This window comes from Homo sapiens, chromosome 1 (genome assembly GCF_000001405.40).
Source record: "Homo sapiens chromosome 1, GRCh38.p14 Primary Assembly".
In the NCBI taxonomy this organism is placed as follows: domain Eukaryota; kingdom Metazoa; phylum Chordata; class Mammalia; order Primates; family Hominidae; genus Homo; species Homo sapiens.
This window is the reverse complement of record NC_000001.11, coordinates 184,890,395-184,909,843: the sequence shown is the minus strand read 5'-3', so window position 1 is coordinate 184,909,843 and position 19,449 is coordinate 184,890,395. Positions and strand designations below refer to the sequence as shown.

Genomic DNA, 19,449 nt, shown 5'->3' with positions numbered 1-19,449 from the left:
ATAAAATTTGGCTCTGTGATGAGCTATATTTTCAACTGTTCTAGGTCAGATTTTATTATTGGAGATGTTTGAGTTATTATCAGAAAAACTGTATCCAGAGACATAGTGCTTGACCAAATCATGTGGACAGTGGGTCAAAACCATTTTGGCATTTCACAAAATCTTGTGAGGATAAGTTAGAACATGCTAAAGTAATTTTCACTAGTGAGTATTCTATCAACCTTGTGAATAATTTCAGAAAATATTAGCTGGCTACAGAAATGTTGAACGGTTTATAGACTTTTTTTCCTGGACCCTCCCAAGCCTAGCAATACTACCTTCCATTTTCTAGCCAAGTTCATTCCTTACTGTTACACATATCCCCAGACTAACAGAATGCAAGCATATCTGGGCCCCAAACACAGTTATCTAGAAATGCGTTTTTTTACATTAATGGCATAGATTCTTGAGAAAGAAAAAATGTAAAATATAAAGCAAGCATTTCAAACAAATGTATGTCTGTGTGGAGAGAAGAAAAATGAAATAAGAAAAAGAAAAAAACATAGGAAAATAAGAGAGAAACCTAGAGGAGACACCATAGAACCTGATGTGTTGGAAGGGAAATCACTGAAATTCCTGGGCTTGTGGCCTGGCTTATTTTAAGTCTGGCCTGATTTCTTTTAATGTGCATGTTGTGTTCATTTGCATGGTTGCAATCTTTAAGCAAAGAATATTTTCAGGATTTTGGAATAATCTGAGAGCCCCTGATAAAATGAGTGCAGAAAAAATTTAATGACTGTGATTAGTCACAAAAAGAGCAAAGGGAATCTCATTATTTCAGTTTCTGAATTTCAGTTAGATGTTTTCCTTAAAACCAAGAAAGGTTGTCTAATGGGCAAAAACATTGTTATTCTTCATGGATTCATAGTTCCTGTGATGCTCTCTGAAAAAGCAGCTATATCAGATTAATTTTCTTTTTCACACTCTTCCCTCTCATTTTTGTAAAGAAAAAGACAGCCAATCTGTAGCTTCCTTGGGGGGCATTAGACAGCTTAGAAAAGTGGCAAAATAAACAAGATTTATTCTCATCAGATGTATCATGAGAAAATTGGAGGCGTGCTGTGAGGTAATGACAAAATAATCTTGAAAATTTCCAAGCACTTCTTCCAAGTGGAATGGAAGGAAATTTAAAGTCAGCTTTCATCTATTTATAGCTGAAACAAGATGTGTGCATAAATGTATGGGCATATATATTTTTTCTAACAATACTATTGGTTTCCTCTCCTAAAAAAGAGGAAACCAAACTTAAGGTCTTAGAGTTCTAGAAAGGTGTCCTCTGGAAAAGTTGACCACAGCGGGATTTTAGTTTCTCTATGGAATAAGGTAGTGGGAATAGTAACATGAAATGGTAGTGTGTTTTTTCCTCTCTGTCCATCTTCTCCCATTTCTCTTACTTATATTAACCTTTGAAGGTATTGTTCCAGAAAATGCACAGTGCCAATGGGACCTTAATTTATTTCAGTGGTCATTTGCAGAAAACAATATTTTTGCCTCTGCTTACCCATTGGAGCTGATATATACTCTTTTATGTAGCATCTGTAAGTACATGAGGATTCATTGAATGCCTTTGATGGGCTAAGCTTTGTGGCCATATTAGAGATACTGGGCTTGCTTTTAGAACAGGACTTGGGAAGAACTTAGGGTCTCTCACACTTCGCTGCAGGTTTTGCTCACAGAATTTGGGACCTCTATGAGGGTAAGTGTTGGAAAGCAGGAAACGATGCTTTATTGTTTGTTCTTAAGCATGCCTTCTTTCCATCCAGTTGCTGGCTGAGCCCTACGAGGGTCCTGGCTTGGCTTTGATATATTTCATATAAGCTCTTGGGAGAATAAGTGTTTGTTTGTTTCTCTTTGTGGATGAATATCCAAAGTAAATCACAGAGAACTTAAGTTGGTTTTTATGTCTCTTATTTTTAACTCAAGGTGGGATTTCTACAGGGTAGGCTGCAGAATCAAGGCTATCCGTGAATCATTTTGCCTTTTCCTAGGAGAGACTGTTCAAAAACCTGACTCTCAGGCACCAATAATAAATGTGCTTTAAAAACACACATACACTCCCTTCAGTTCAATTATGGAGAATCCAATTTATCCCCGTTCTCTAAGGCATTTACCAGAAGAAAAAGAGAGTCCTTGGGCATTATTCTGTGTAATTAGATTTTTACACCTCTGTATTGTGAATTGGGATTTCCAATTTCTCCACCCTAAGGTGTAAAGTGATGGTGCTTAGCAACCTAAGACCATAGCTGATGTTATAATTCATCAGGACTTTTAGACTGTTATAATTTGAGAAACTCTGGTGAAAATAAACAATAGTGGATATTGTAATTTCTTTTATAAATATTAAATCTATTTTATTTTTTAGAACCATTTGTCTTATTTCTCAAAATTAATCTTCACCTGAAACCTCAACAGTTTTTAAGAAACTGTGCCAATGGCCTGATTAATCTTCTCATATGTGGATTTTCCTCAGTTGCCAGGAAATAACCACCTGGTTAAAATAAACTTATTTTTATTTATTTCTGTATGTTTCACCTTCATAGTAACAGTAAAAATGCAATATCTGAAAGTCGTGATTTTTTTTTTTGCAATTTTATAGGAAAAACCAAAGCTAAAATGTGGATATAAAACATAACAGTCTCAACTATTTTTAAAAAGAATTGAAAAAAGATTAGCAGAAAATGTATAAAAAACAGTGTTTGGATTTTTGTATCTTTTTGCACTTAATCAGTACATTTTTGTGCTTTTCTAAAAGTAATTGAAATAGGAAGCTACATATTTCAGAGAAGATTATAGAATGTATCATAGTTGTGATGACACAGAATGTTGGGGGAACGAGGCATAATCTGCTATAAATAGTATCTTCCAAGAAAGACTGCTGATAAACAGTAGATTTGAGTTGATCTGCTTCAGGACTGGGAACTGGTTTTAGAAGAACCTTCTAGAATGAGAAAATATACAGATTTGTCAGGCTCTTCAGACTTCATAAAAGTTTTACCCAGAGCCTTGTATTTGCTGTGGTTTCAGACTGGTTAAGGAAAACAGATAAGCCAAGAAAGGATTTTGTTTGTAAATTATTTCCCACAAATAATTTCATGGACAAAACTCATTTAAAAGCTTGAAAAGAATTAACTTGTAAGAGTCTGATTTATTATTATTATTATTATTTTCTTTTTTGAGATGGAGTTTCACTCTTGTTACCCAGGCTACAGTGCAGTGGCACAATCTCAGCTCACCGCAACCTCCGCCTCCCTGATTCAAGCTATTCTCCTTCCTCAGCCTCCCGAGTAGCTGGGATTACAGGCATGCGCCACCACGCCTGGCTAATTTTGTATTTTTAGTAGGGACGGGGTTTCTCCATGTTAGTCAGGCTGGTCTAGAACTTCTGACCTCAGGTGATCCACCCGCCTCGGCCTCCCAAAGTGCTAGGATTACAGGTGTGAGCCACCGCGCCCAGCCAAGAGTCTGATATTTTATAAACAGATATGAATTGAATTTCAAATGTGTGTGTGTGTGTGCATGTGTGTGTGTGTGTGTGTTCATTTATTTTGAGACAGGATCTTGCTCTGTCAGCCAGGATGGAGTGCAGTGGTGTGATCACAGCTCACTGCAGCCTCGAATTCCTGGGCTCAAGCAATACTCTGCCTCACCCTCACCCCACCCCCACCACTGCTGAGTAGCTGCAACTACAGGTGTGCATCACCACACTTGGCTAATTTTTTAATTTTTTTTTGTAGAGTCAAGGTCTCTCTATGTTGTCCAGGCTAGTTTCAAACTCCTGCACTCAGGTGATCCTCCCATCTCGGCCTCCCCAAGTGCTGGGATTACAGGCATGAGCCACCATGCCTGGCCAAGAGTGTATATTTTTGGTAATTAATATTCAAGCTGAAAACTGTACCTTTCTCCTTTCCTGGGGCATTGGCATGGGTTTTGTTGATAGAATGCATTGTAATTTGGTTTACTCTTGAATATTTACTCAGCCATTCTTTCATTCATTCAACAAATATTTGCTGAGTATATAAACACAATATACCCTTGGAGGAGAGATAAGCTATATTTGAACAGCTGCAGTAGAAGTGGTACACAATCTTGGGAGAATGCCAAAGAAGGTGTGATTGCTTCCAGCTGGGGAGATCCAAAGAGGTTTCTACTCGGGTTGGGACTGTCATGTGGGCTTGAAGGGTCTGAAAGTGGCTAGCAGGGGACTTAGGGGGAGAAAGGAGGAGAGAAGGCACATGTATGCACAGGGGCAAGAAGGCTTAAGTTGAGTGAAAGAAGTGGGAAATAAAGACAGTTGAGGTGAGATCCCAGGCCCGTGGTACTAGGACGAGGGGTTACTACCCTAGGCAATAGGGAAACATTGAAGATTTTTTTTTTCTTACAAAGATAGTGATATGATCTTGCAGCAGCATGTTAAATGAAAGCTGCCAGTCCAGGACAAGTCAGAAGGTTGTGCCCCTATGACTAATGAGGTGTGACCCTTATGACTTTCAAAAGAGTGTCTTAGTAACATCAGTGCCAAGATTTGGTTCTGAAATACAGTTCCCACCTCTAACATCTGGGCCTTTTTGTAACTCATGCTACCTTTGAGTGGGACCAAGGTGGTCAGCTTTGATTTAGCCTCTCCTGTTCTGCCCCATCAGCCCTGGACTCCGGCCACTTCTCAGAACCAGCCTCTGCCACACACACCAAGCTTTGGCTCATTCCCCATAATCCTCCAGGATCAGCCCTGGCACTCCCCCTCCCACTCTGGTTTTCACTTTTTTGTTCCTGTTTAAGAGCTGAGAGTTCCTGTTTTTGTTTTTCTCCTCTGTCTCTGCTGTGATGCTGAAGTAGGGTAGATACAGAGAATTTTTTTTTTTTGAGACAGATCTCGCTCTGTCACCTAGGGTGCAGTGGTGCGATCTTGGCTCACTGCAACCTCTGCCTCCCAGGCTCAAGTGATTCTCCTGCCTCAGCCTCCCAAGTAGCTGGGATTACAGGTGTGCACCACCACACCCGGCTAATTTTTGTATTTTTGGTAGAGACAGGGTTTCATCATGTTGGCCAGGCTGGTCTTGAACTCTTGACCTCAAGTGATCCACCCACCTTGGCCTCCCAAAATGCTGGGATTGTGTGAGCTACTGCGCCCAGCCCAAGAGACTTTTATAATGTCGTTGAGAGATAGTAGAGGCTTGATTGAAGGTGTGGTGGTTGGGATGGGGAAAAGGAAATGGAATCAAGAAATTTCTGGAAATAAAAGTGGCAAGATCTGATGATTGGATCTGGGAATGGGAGAGAAGGAGTCAAATGAATGCTGAGTTTTTGAGCCTGTATAGAGTTAATGGCTTCAAAGGGGCCAGCAGATATTTTTCTTAATTTTACAAAGGTGAACTGAAGCTAAGTTATATGGACAGAGTTGTCAAAGAGGTGTGTTAGTTTCCTTCCGTTGCTATAAGGAAATATCTGAGGCTGGGTAATTTATAAAGAAAAAAAATTTAGGGTGGGTGTGATGGCTCATGCCTGTAATCCCAGCACTATGGGAGTCGAGGCGGGTGGATCATGAGTCTAGGGATTCGAAACCAGCCTGGGCAACATGGTGAAACCCTGTCTCTACAAAAAATACAAAAATTGGCTGGGTGCAGTGATCCACTCCTGTAATCCCAGCACTTTGGGAGGCCGAGGCGGGTGGATCACTTGAGGTCAGAAGTTTGAGACCAGCCTGACTAACATGGTGAAACCCTGTCTCTGCTAAAAATACAAAATTAGCCAGGTGTGGTGGTGCATGCCTGTAATCTCAGCTACTTGGGAGGCTGAGGCAGGAGAATCACTAGAACCTGGGAGGCGGAGGTTGCAGTGAGCCAAGATGGCACCACTGCACTACAGCCTGGGGGATAAGAGTGAAACTGTGTCTAAAAAAAAAAAAATAATAAGTGTGGTGGCACGCTCCTGTGGTCCCAACTACTCAGGAGGCTGAGATGGGAGGATTGCTTAAGACTGGGAGGTCAAGGCTGCAGTGAGCTGTGATTGCAGCACTGCACTCCAAGCCTGGGTGACAGATTGAGACTATCTCAAAAAAAAAAAAAAAAAAAAAAGGTTTAATCGGCTCATGGTTCTTGGTTCTACAGCCTGTACAGGAAGCATAATGCTGGCATCTACTTCTGGTGAGGGCCTCAGGAAGCTTACAATCATAGCAGAAGGCAAAGGGGGAGCAGGTGCATCACATGGCAAGAGCTGAGCAAGAGAGAGGAGAAGGTGCCAGGCTCCCTTCAAACAACCAGCTCTCATGTGAACTAAGGGAACAAGAACACACCTATCCCAAGGGGATGGCACTAAGCCATTAATGAGAGATCCGCCCCCATGACCCAAACACCTCCCACCAGGCCACACCTCCAACATTGGGGATTACATCTCAACATGAGATTTGCAGGGGACAAAAGATCCAAACTATATCAAGTGGCTTCTTTTAGCATCAGTGATGATTACCTTGAAGGGTGTTATGAGCAGCTTAGGGTCAAGTGAATTGTACTAACGCAATGCCCAGCACAAGCTGTAATAAACAAGTAGGATTAGAGATACATACCTGTGCCAAAAATGGTGGTATATCAAAATGTGGAAGAATCCCTTCCATTGCTTTTAGTCCTTCCATTATTGAGTAATCTCCTTTCAGTATAAGACCTGGCACTGTGTTTTATAAACAATTTAGGAAAGAGAATGTGATACTAAATTTGGTGACAGGGATATGAAAGGAATTCAGTGCTCAAGAATCTTGAAAACGGTGATGAATAATGTAGTTTCAGCTGAGGTTATTTTGTGTGGCCCCTGTGGGCTGATCACTTGTTTGAATGTTTTCATTGTGGAATATTAAATAGTCAAAATTGATTGATCAACTAATATGTGTCAGGCACTGTCCTAGATAGTTTTCAATATACAGAATATTTTATTTGCTCCTCATGAAACCCTGTGATATGGGCATCTTATTATCCTCATTTTGCAGGTGAGAAAATTGAGGCTCAGAGAGAGAAGCTCAATGAAACACAGCCCCTAACTTACACTTTTTCTTCAGTTCATTAATGTTGATGTTTTATTTAGTTGGTTTTAATTCAGGAATGCACTGAGGGTCTTCTATGCTGAACCTTTGTGAAAATGTAGGTTGTATTTGTTTGGAGCCTGCAATGGGTGGGGCAGCTCTTCTGTATACAGCAGGGCAGGATGGCCCTAGTGCAAGAGTTACAGTAAACAGCCGGCTTTTTTCTTCTCCTTAATTCCTTAGTTCAGCTTGAGGACTTTATCCTGGTGCTTGCCTAAGGGACACCCACATCACCATTATCATCATCATTTTAATTATGATCAATTATGGAACATTTTCTATGTGCCAGCTATCATGCTGAGCACTTTACTGCATTAGTTCATGGAATCATTAGAATAACCTTATGAGGCTGCTACTCTTGTTTTCTTCATTTAACATGTGAGCAGAAAGAAGTAACTCACATGAGATCTCACAGCTGGCAAGTAGTAGAGATGGGATTTGAACCTGTCTGATTCCTAACCACAGTGGTATTTTGCTCCAACATCAGACTATTTTTTTTTAAATTAGAGGTGGGGTCTTGCTCTGTTTCCCAGGCTGGAGTACAGTGGTGCAATCATAGCTCATCACAACCTCAAACTCCTGGCTTCAAGCAATGTTCCTGCCTCAGCTTCCCAAAGTGCTAGCTTACAAGCAAGAGCCACCAAGCCAGACCGTCCCCTGCCTCAACACCAGACTTTGCTCTCAGTCTTAGGATCCCTACATTGGGTACTTATTTATTTGGATTTAGATAGGCTTAATCTAAAGTCCAGATACACTTGCCAAATAACTTTAGGTTCCCCCCACCCCAGAACATATGATATTGTTAGCTATATCATACATAGTTTGAACTAGTTATTAGATTAATTACCTAAAGAAGCTGCAATTGCTTCTTTATAAGCGCTACCTGGTGGATGATGTGTTAATGGGACAGTATGCAGATATTCAAATTACAGAAGCATTTTTCTCATATATCAGAAGAGAGCATTATGGCACCTCACCAGAAGCAGGGCGTCCCTGGGGAGGCTTGGTGATGTGGCAGAAAATCAGCTTTCAAAGCTTTATAGAGTTCATCATAAAATGACATTCACCTCCTTTCATTTCAATCCAAGTGCTTTCAAGAGTACAAAAATAAACATTAGAAATTAACAGGCTGCTTTTCTGATAGACCAAACAGTGGCTACTTGGACCTAAAGGGCAAATTTTGTTCATCATTTATATGTTTTAGTAAAGTGAGATTCGTTCTCATTGTGGGAATTCCCACACTGTCCCACTCCTATGTAAGAAAATTATAGACAAGCATAGAGAATTACACTGCATAAAAGCTGATAGCATAATAACCAATTAGATGATTATAAAGCCTGAGTATATTAAAGTATTATGCAAATACTGATTAATAGTAATACCATAAATGCACAGAGCAAGCAAAAGCATGCCTGATTCAAATTATAGGAGCTTTTATTTGCATTTCTACAGAATCTATTATTAGTGGGTCTCAAAGCACCTTACAAGTAATAATTATTAAAGCTCACATGACCAGTAAATGCCATGTTATGAAGTGAATATGAAAGAATTCCTCTTTACCTCATTTATAGTATAAGACCTAAATTCCCAAACAAAAGTAGGATTCTCTGCATATGGAGAGTATTCATACATTATGGGTGTTTTTGGCTATGGTTCTATAGGCTTAGAAACGGGTTGCTATGGATTCAAGGCTTTCCTATTGAGTACCTCAATCTATGTAGTTAGAACTCTTCACTTATTTTTGAAATTTAACCCACATGATAGCTCTAAACAAATCTTGCCAGTATATTTTAATATCTCTTTATTGACTATAATATCAAATTTTAAAAGCAAAAATGATGTCAAGTTCATATGAAAGTACTTTAAAATATTTTGGAATATTACAGCAAGTTTATTTTTCCTCAAGCTGTACCCTGTTCTGCGGACTCATCGCTTACGAGCACAATCAGTGAAGCCTGTGTTTCTTTCTGTACCCTGCAGCAAGTAGTTGAAATGTTGTAAGGGTTTCTAATCTGCATGAGAATGCTCCTACACCCACCCTTTCCCCTCTATTCCTCCTTCTCTCTTCCCTCCTTTGCAATTTCCATACTCTCTAAAGCTAAGCACAGATTGGAAAGGCAAGAATGTTTCAGGTGTCTGACTCTCCCTGTCCCTCCATCTCAAGTCCTCAAGCTTCCCCCACATGGTTCATACTCAGTTTGATTTACTTTCGGTGCTGAGAGACTATTTAATATATTGCAGTTTCTGGTCATTGTGAGGCAGCTGGACTTTCGTACTGTACTTATATTTCAATGGCATGCAGATCCAAAGAAATGTGTAGACTAGTGAGCACCTTCCTTTATAGTTAGGATTCTGGAGCCTTGAGAGTCGAATGACTTGACTGAGGTTGTACAGCTGGTTTCTGCCTCACAGAATCGAGACCAGAGCTCAGGTCTCTAGGCTCTTAAACCAAAGTTTCCCCCTCTGTCTCGTGGTGGTTATATACTGCTTTGAATCACACACAAAAATTTTAAACCAGAAATATTGGAGCAGAGTGAGAGGAAACACTTGTTGATTTTATCCAGGACTGTGAGTCACAAGACTAGAGGTGGAGCCTCAGGGATCTGAAGAAAAAGGGAGTGATGGCCAGGTGTGGTGGCTCACGCCTATAATCCCAGCACTTTGGGAGGCCGAGGCGGGCAGATCATCTGAGGTTGGGAGTTCGAGACCAGCCTGACCAACATGGAGAAACCCCATCTCTACTAAAAATACAAAATTAGCTGAGCATGGTGGCACATACATGTAATCCCAGCTACTCAGGAGGCTGAGGCGGGAGAATCGCTTGAACCCGGGAGGTGAAAGTTGTGGTGAGCCAAGATTGTGCCATTGCACTCCAGCCTGGGCAGCAAGATGGACACTCTGTCTCAAGAAAAAAAAAAAAAAAAAAAAAAAGAGAGTGATGTGCTTGCAGAATTGAAGGCATAGACCTGGGATTATCATTTGGAGGGAGGAGCTGAATGACTGGAGGTCGAGGAGAATAAAGAACAAGTAGAAGTGGAGAGAGGGCGAGGTAGAAGAACAGTCTTAGGAGGATTAGAAGGATGGTTGAGTTTATGGTCATGGCGATAGTCTATTGATAGAAAATAAAGCAAAACTCAATAGGTTACGGGATTTAGTCCTTAGGGTCAATTTAGTCCTTAGGGTCTGTGAAGCCTCTCAGGATGATGCCAGAAGGAGAGGGAGAGATGGGGCATGTGCAGCAGGTAGCAAAGTTCTCCGGGAAGACAGACTACTGGCAAATATCTGGGAAACAGGGGTGACTGGAGGGATAGAAACAGGGGTGACTGGAGGGATAGAAACAGAGAGACTGGAGGGATGGTTTTTGGAACTCTGTAGATAGGTGTATATTCTGTGCTATACTTAAGAATTCTAATTTTCATATTTTTCTAGGGAAAACTGAGGCTGCCATCAAAAACTTCAGTCCCTACTACAGTCGTCAGTACTCTGTGGCTTTCTGCAATCACGTGCGCACTGAAGTAGAACAGCAAAGAGATTTAACGTCACAGTTTTTGAAGACCAAGGTAAGCCATGGATATTTGGTTTACATGTATTTCCCCTTGAAGAAGGCTATATAGCACAGCCGTATTTCTGAAATAAACAATAATTTGAATGGCAGTTTTAAAAACTCTGCTCTGAAGTCGTTTCATGCTCAAAAAACTCTATTTGCCTGGAAGTTAGAATGTATGATTTCTTGTTGCTGATATAATCCATAGAAAAAGGAAATTAGCTTGAATCCAATATTGTTATGTATTTTTCCCACATGGATGCTTTGTTTGTCTAAGAAAATTTGACTTTCTGTAGTGAAGTTTTGGTCATTGATCAAATATGATTTTCTCTTTGAATCCCCTAATTTATTCTTACTCCTTTGCTCCATTATAATAAGTAACCACCACCTCGACAAATGTTTGTTAGCACCTACTATGTGCTAGGCTATAGTCCAAGAACTGGGGAATTAAGACAAGTTCTCTGCCTTCCTGGAGTTTATATTCACACACAGGAAACGGGTAATAAACAAATTAATATCAGGTGACATCAGATAATAATAAATGCTAAAAAGAAATAAAGCGAGTCTTATTTTATTTTTGAGATAGAGTCGTGCTCTGTGGTTCAGGCTGGAGTGCAGTGATACAATCGCGGCTCACTGCAACCTCTGCTTCCTGGGTTCAAGTGATTCTCCTGCCTCAGCCTCCTGAGTGGCTGGGATTACAGGTGCGCACCACCACACCCAGCTAATTTTTGTATTTTTAGTAGAGACAGGATATTCACCATGTTGGCCAGGCTGGTCTTGAACTCCTGACCTCAAGTGATCCACCTGCCTCGGCCTCCCAAAGTGCTGGGATTACAGGTGTGAGCCACCACGCCCAGCCTAGAGCCTTATTTTAGAGAAGATGGTTAGGGAAGCCCTCTGTGGAGATAACATTTAAGCAGAAACTGGAGTGCAATGAGAGTAGGCTGTGTGAATATTCGTGGGAAGAGTATTCCAGGTCTATGGAACAGCAAGTGTGAAGACCCTGCCACACAGAGGGAAGGTCGGTCTGCTGGGAGCACTGTGAGCAAGGGAGGAGGGAGGAACAATGACAGCAGAGAGACAGATCGGGAGCACATCATGTCAACCTGTGGGTCACAACAGGGTTTTGATTTTGTTTTGTAATGGGAAGTCTCCCACTGGAGGGTATTGAATACAGAGTGGCATATAATTTTAGATGATCTGTCTGGCCTCTGTGTAAAGAATAGACTATGGGGCGAGAGGGGAGAATGGAAACTGGGGAGCAGGATACTGTAGCATCTGAGGGAAGAATGATGCCAAATTGGACTGGGGTGGTGATGGTCATGGTTGTGAGGAGAGGTGCTTATGATAGAGCTGACAGAACATACTGTTGGGTTGGGTGTGAGATAATAGAAGAAGAGAGAAATCAGTGATGACTTCTTGGTTTTTAACCAGAGCAAATAAGTGGATGGAGTTGCCTTTTACTTAGAAGGAAGAGTCGGAGTGAATGGGATCACGAGTTCCCTTTTGGCCATGTTAAGTTTGAGATGCTAGTGTGGAAATGTTGAATAGGCCATTAGATGTTTTCATTTGGAGCTCAGCAGAGTGATTGAGCCTGGAGAATAGAAATTTGGAAGATGTTAGCTTATAACTAGTATTAAGGCCATGGGCCATAAAACAGGGAAAGACTATAGACAGAGAAAAGAAACAGTACACTGGCCCCTTCAGCATTTGGAGATCAGAAAAAGGAGAAGGATCCAGCAAAATGGACTAAGAAGAAACGGTCTATGGAGTAGGAGAAAAATCAGAAAAGCATAATGTCCCAGAAGGCAAATAAAAAAGGGGTTTCAAAATTAAGAACTCAATCCCATTTATAATAGCCACCCCCACCCACCACACACACACACACACACACACACACACACACACACACACTTAGGAGTACATTTAACCAAGGAGATGAAAGATCTCTACAAGGACTACAAAACACGGATGAAAGAAATTGTAGGCAACACAAACTAATGGAAACACATCCCATGCTCACAGATTGGAAAAATCACTATCATTAAAATGACCATGTTCCCCAAAGCAATATACAGCTCCAATTCAATTGCTATCAAATTACCAATGTCATCTTACACAAAATTAGAAAAATTAATCCTAAAGTTCATAGGGAACAAATAAAAGCCTGAATAGCCAAAGCACGCCCAAGCAAGGGAACAAATCTGGAGACATCACATTGCCTGACTTCAAATTATACTACAAGGCTATACTAACTAAATCAGCATGGTACTGGTACAAAAATAGACACATAGACCAATGGAACAGAATGGAGAACCCAGAAATAAAGCCACATACCTACAACCAACTGATCTTTGATAAAATCAACAAAAATAAATAATGAAGAAAGGATACCCCATTCAATAAAAGGTGCTGAGAAAACTGGCTAGTCATATGCAGAAGAATGAAACTGGACCCCTATCTCTCATTATATACAAAAATTAACTTCAGATGGATTAAAAACCTAAGTGTAAGTCCTGAAACTATAGAAATCTTAAAAGAAAACTTAGGAAAAACTCTTCTGGACATTTGCCCAGGAAAAGAATTTGTGATGAAGACCCCAAAAACAAATGCAACAAAAACAAAAATAGAGAAATGGGACTTAGTTATGCTAAAAAGCCTATACACAAAAAAGAAATAGTCAACAAAATAAACAGATAACCTACAAAATGGGAGAAATATTTGCAAATTATGCCCCTAACAAAGGACTAATATCCAGAATCTACAAGAAACTCAACAAGAAAAAACAACCCCATTAAAAACTGGGCAAAGGACATGAACAGACATTTCTCAAAAGAAGACATACAAGTGGACAACAAACACATGAAAATATGCTCAATATCACCAATCATCAGAGAAATGTATATTAAAACCACACCAAGATATCATCTTACAGCAGTAAGAATGAATGTCATTAAAAAGTCAAAAAATAACAGATGATGTGGATGTGGAGAAAAGGAAATGCTCATACACTGTTAGTGGGAATGTAAATTAGTTCAACCCCTACGGAAAATAGTATGGAGATATCACAAATAACTAAAAAAGAACTATCATTCGACTCAGCAATCCTACTACTGGGTATCTACCCAAAGGAAAATAAATCATTATATAAAAAGACTCCTGTATGTGTGTGTTTATCACAGCACTATTTTTAATAGCAAAGCCATGGAACCAACCTAAGTGTGCACCAGCGGTTGATTGGATAAAAAAAATGTGGTATATATACACCACAGGATGCTACACAGTCATAAAAAAGAACAAAATCATACCCTTTGCAACAACATGGATGGAGCTGGAGGCCATTATCCTAAGTGAACTAACTCAGAAACAGAAAATCAAATACCACATGTTTTCAGTTATAAGCAGGAGCTAAATAATGGGTACACATGGACATAAAGATGGAGAGAATAGACTCTGGAGACTCCAAAAGTGGGGAAGGTGGGAGGGGAGTAAGGGTTGAAAAATTACCTATTGGGTACAATGCTCAAGATTTGGGTAATGGGTACACTAGGAGCCCAGTCCCCACCGTTACACGTAATACCCATGTAAGAAACACACGTACCCCTTGAATATAAAATTTAAAAAACTAAAAATAAAAAAGAAGGGGTTTCAAGAGAGAATAAGTGATAAGTGAGTCACATAATGCTGAGAAGTTAACCAATATATTTAGCAGCATGAGTACATAGGGATAAGTGATTGCTTTCCCTCATAAAACAGTGATCTCAAAATTTAGGGAGCTTGTTAAAATGCACATTATGGCCCACAGCTCCAGAGATTCTGATATAGTAAGTCTATCGTGAGGCCCCATTTTTAACAAGCTTATCAGTTGATTAAGTGGTCCAGGTTTTAAGAAAAGCTGCACATAAGAACTATGAAGTTCAGCTTATGCCATGGTTTCAGTTTCATTTAAAGAGAAGAGATTCTCTCTTACCTTTTAATGAGGCAAGATAGGGGACTGCCGCATTATCTGTCTCCTATCTTGCCTCATTAAGCACTGGAATTTGGAAGGGAATTTGTTTCATCCCTTAGATTATTCTTAAAAGAGATTGGCATATCTATTTTTTTTCTGTATAGCTCATTTAAAATTTTACTTGAAAGTAGAGGGGTAAGTTTCTGAAGGCACTATGATTTTTTAATAAAGGGAAAATAGATGTAAACTCAGTGACATGTAAAAGAAAAGAGGCCCATTTGTATATTTTGAAATAATATGAAAATTACACAATGAAGCCGGATGGGAATTATCCTTACACAGTTAATCCAATGGAAGATGTAACTAGGAATCTAATGGAAATGCCCGCACAGCACATATATCACCACAGTTAATAAGAAATCCTCAAACTTTTCAGTAGAAGCGGTGGAACTCAGGTGTTCTGGCTTGATACCTGCTTGTTCTTTAACCAAATAGCAAACATGATCTCCTTGAGTAGCATGGAGAGGGGTCCCCATGGCTTTGGGTTTAGGAAAACCATTGAGAATTGGAGGCAGCATCGGCAGGTGTAATGGATAGGGGAACGGTCTGTTAATTCTCCCGCTTTGCGGGGATTAACCCTGAGTCATGTTCAGGGTGTCCAGGTAGGTATCCACACTTACACTTTCCTGCCTCACTCCCTCTCTCCCATAGAGTTTATCAAGCATTTATTGAGTGCCACATGCATGCAAGGCATAATAACCTTATTACTATAATTCCTTCTACCATATGCTTCTGTTCCTATAGCATAATAGAGGGAAATGAAAATCATAAAAATACCAATAAGACAAATATTTACATTGGGTCAAGTGGAGTAGGAAAGGGAAATTGTGGGGGGAGAGGAGGAAGCAACAGTTTCCCCAGGATCTCAGTGGAAGATAGTTTCCTAAACTATTCCTTGAAATAGCATGGATAACTTTGTGGTAACAAGGTGTGTTATCTTTTGTTGTGATAGTTAATTGTATTCATCTTCTTTAAGCCACCATTGGCGCCTGGAACTATTTTGTATGAAGCAGAGCTATCACAATTTTCTGAAGACATAAAGAAGTGGAAGGAGAGATACGTTGTAGTTAAAAATGATTATGCTGTGGAGAGCTATGAGAATAAAGAGGTAAGACACTTCTTTGTTACTACTGATTCTTACACTGTTCTTAAAAGTTTGGCTCGGTTGATTGGTGTGCCCTCTCCTTCCTACAAGGCTATACTAACAAAATCAGCATGGTACTGGTACAAAAATAGAGACTGATTCATTCAATAAGCACTCATTCATGTAGGTATCTATTTCAGCTAACAGATACTGATTGAATGCCTACTGCATACCAAGTGTTATACAAGGTTCTGGGTATACAGCAGTTGATAAGACAGATGCTTGCCGTCTAGTGGCAAGATAGACTTTGAACAAGTGATTGCAAGTGAGTATGAAGACAGAAGGACCAGTATTTGGCATGGGAGCCTTTCCTATGATCATTCAGCCTTGAGGTCTTTCTCAGCCACCATCCTGACATCTCTGCTCTATGTCTCTGTCTTCCCACTCTGAAGCCCTGTGCATGACAGGTGGCTCAGGAGTTATTTCATAGGTTGCTATTAAATTTGAATCTGCCTGGGTTTTCCTGGGTTCCTAGGAATTCAGAATGCCTCACATACTTTATTTCCATGGAGGTATTTTTTTTTCATTTAACTTTTTTCTGGTTATTTCACTATTTTCCTTGTCTGTAAAATGTGGAGAAAGTGAGATAATGGGTGTAAAGCATTCAGCCCCTGGGAGGACTTTAGTTTTTATTGGTTCCCATTTCTTTCCTTATGTAGGAAGGTAGTGTGGTATAGGGGAAAGAATAGCAGGCAGTGAATTTGGCAAACTAAAGGTTAGGTCAAGTTGTGCCATTAACTAGAAATGAACCTGTTGACAAGTGACTTCTTGCCTTCAGTCCTCAATTAAGCTAAACAGTTAGGTCAAATGATCCCACTATCCTCCCAGATCTCATACTGTACACATTTTTTAGTCTGCATAGACCCTCAAGCTCCCTTTGAAATGAACAGCTACTATTTATCAGTGAACGACAGTAACAGATTTAAAACTCTGCTCTCTGGCCTCTAAGCTCAAGAATAGTCAAGATGGCGAGGTGCAGTAGCTCATGCCTGTAATCCCAGCACTTTGGGAGGCCAAGGCAGGTGGATCACCCGAGGTCAGGAGTTAGAGACCAGCATGGCCAACATGATGAAACCTCATCTCTACTAAAAATACAAAAATTAGCTGGGCATGCTGGTGCATGCCTGTAGTCTCAGATACTCAAGAGGGTGAGGCAGGAGAATCACTTGAACTCGGGAGGTTGAGGTTGCAGTGAGCTGAGATCACCCCAATGCACTCCAGCCTGGGTGACAGAGTGAGACTCTATCTCAAAAAAAATAAAAAAAGAGTAGTCAAGATAGTCTTCACAGAGCACTGTGAGGACTACACCTGATGCTAGGAAGAGGCTTCAGACTGACAGACCAATCTGTTTCCTTCCCATTTCTGATGGAAAATAGAAATAAAATATACTACAAACTTATTTCACAGGCTACCAGGCAAAGCTCAAGTGCTCTCTTGGGTAGACTTACTCTTTTCAACATTTATTAAGCTAATATTTTCTCTGCTTATCAATATTAGGATTTTATTCAACACTTAATTTGTACTCAGCAACAAAGTATCAATACACTACAAATAGTGATGATAATAACAAGACACCTTATGTTTTGTATGACTCATTACAACGTCCTTTCAGAGGAGCTTGAGGAGGGACAGTGTAGCATAATATGGTTCATACTATGGGCTTTGACTCATACCTTTACCACTTACTAGATAGGCGCCCTTGCCTAAGCTATAAATCTTGAGCCTCAGTTTTCTCATCTGTAAAATGAGATCTGCGTGATTTCTTTGCCATGGTGTTGAGAGGAGTAAGTGAATGAATGTACGGAAGCATTTAGCATATGGCTGGGCCTGTGGTAAAGCTAGAGCTGGGTGTGGAGCAGTTGCTGGTATGATTACTACTAACCCATTGGGAAGAAACAGCCCTAGATCTTGTTCTTGGATTTATTAAAGTTTTTCACTGCATTTAACACTAACTGAGGTTTCATTTTGAATCAAATGTTGGTGTTTTTCCTCTTTTCACTTATTTCAGCTTGCTCTCTCAGCTTGCAGTTTGTACATTGCACTGCTTTTTCTTTGTTCATCGTTTTTAACTGAACCTGTTCAAATTGTTAAGATATGGTGACTTAATTTGGTAATAACCAAGTGTTTTTTGAAACTTGGAATTCTTTTAAAGTCCACGCAGTTTGTCATAATTTCTTGAAGTTTTAATAATATCTTCTTTTTTTAATTTATGGAAGTATCTTATAAAATTATATCTAAGAATTATGCATTAAGTACCTGTAAGTCATCTATTATTTTATTTAGAGTCCAATTCTGGCTGGCAATTAAACAGGAAAAGTAAAACATTCTCACTTGATAATCAGTTTCTATTTTGTGTGCACTGGGGCTGGACAGGCATGAATATAAATCCTGGATGTGTCACCTACTCACTGCTGGGCCATGGGCAAGTTATTCAGTCTCTTTGAGCTTCATGTTTCCCATTTGAAAAATGGAGATAACATGTAATGCATAGTACTGTTTTGAGGATTAAGTGGTATAATGCTTATAAAAGCCAATATTGGGGCCTGTTATAACTAGTAATACAATTCACTTTTGAGTCCAGTCTAAATCAAATTGCTTGTAAATCTTCTTAATATCATACAAGTTTAGATTCTTCTCTCAACATTATTGTTTCACTATAATGTAGCTCTGTGGGAGTTCTTAGAGCTGTAAGGTATTATTTCATGGGGAGCCCTCAATTATGTATAGATCCTCCTTCCTGGGTTAATCATTTATTCAGAAGAGTCCTCCAATCGTCTTTCTTAGGATGAATAGGTCAGGCTGCCAGAATTCTGTGTTAGTGGGTATATTCTGGTTCCCTCACATGCTTAAGCAGTTGATTAGTCGTTGTTACAAGTAATTTAGATATCTGAGAGTTTGTTTCATTTGGATCTCTTCACTATCTTATTGCTGCAGAACGTGTTATCGTTACTCTGATTATGTTGGTCAGATCAACATTATTTAGTCATTTCCAAGAGTAAATTCTAGATTTTGGGTCTCAAACTTTCTTAGTTTCAATTCTCAACTTGCCTTTAGATTACTAGTTTCAGAATTTTGCCTTGACTTAAGCCCTCCCGTCAGATGCACATACTTAAATGTTATCTTATCTGCATGTCCTTGTGGGCATAGGTGCTTACCAAACTGCTTTGGCAATGCCCTGTGCCTCTTTTCTGTGTCTCAAATAGCAGAGCTTCTTGTCTGCTGGCCAGCATTTGTTCTGATGTCACAGTGCTGTACTTCCATCTCAACCATTTTGCTGCAAAACAGTTTCACATCTGAGGGCAAAATAGTGGCATATTTTATGCCAACATTTTCATGTTTTGATGAAAATCCATGGTAACTATCATTGCAGCTACGTGTTCCACAGTCTCATTAGTCATCCTATGTGGCCCACATCAGTCACCAAGCATTCTGTGCAGTATTTGTGTGATCGTCACCTTTGTGGTTATTATCAGAATGATTTAGTTGTTAGCATCTGAAATGGCAAATGTGGTGCAGACTTTCAGGGTTACTGAGATTATGTTTTCCACATTCGAGAACATACCTAGGGTAAATCTCCCTGAGATTAGGGACTCTGATTTACCATGTTGTGACTGTCACATGAAAGTATTAAAATATTACCTTGC

The 19,449-nt window shown here is 39.8% G+C and overlaps 1 protein-coding gene across 6 annotated transcripts in view; it reads left to right on the top strand.

The window, feature by feature from the left end:
- The window catches only part of NIBAN1 (niban apoptosis regulator 1), a 183,477-nt gene that overhangs the window by 64,665 nt on the left and 99,363 nt on the right, over positions 1-19,449 (top strand). For all 6 annotated transcript variants that reach the window (XM_047444098.1, XM_047444102.1, NM_052966.4 and 3 more), the window contains exons 2-3: positions 10,535-10,665; positions 15,638-15,769. In XM_047444098.1, the coding sequence (XP_047300054.1) occupies positions 10,535-10,665; positions 15,638-15,769 (263 nt within the window). The remainder of the gene's footprint in view (positions 1-10,534; positions 10,666-15,637; positions 15,770-19,449) is intronic.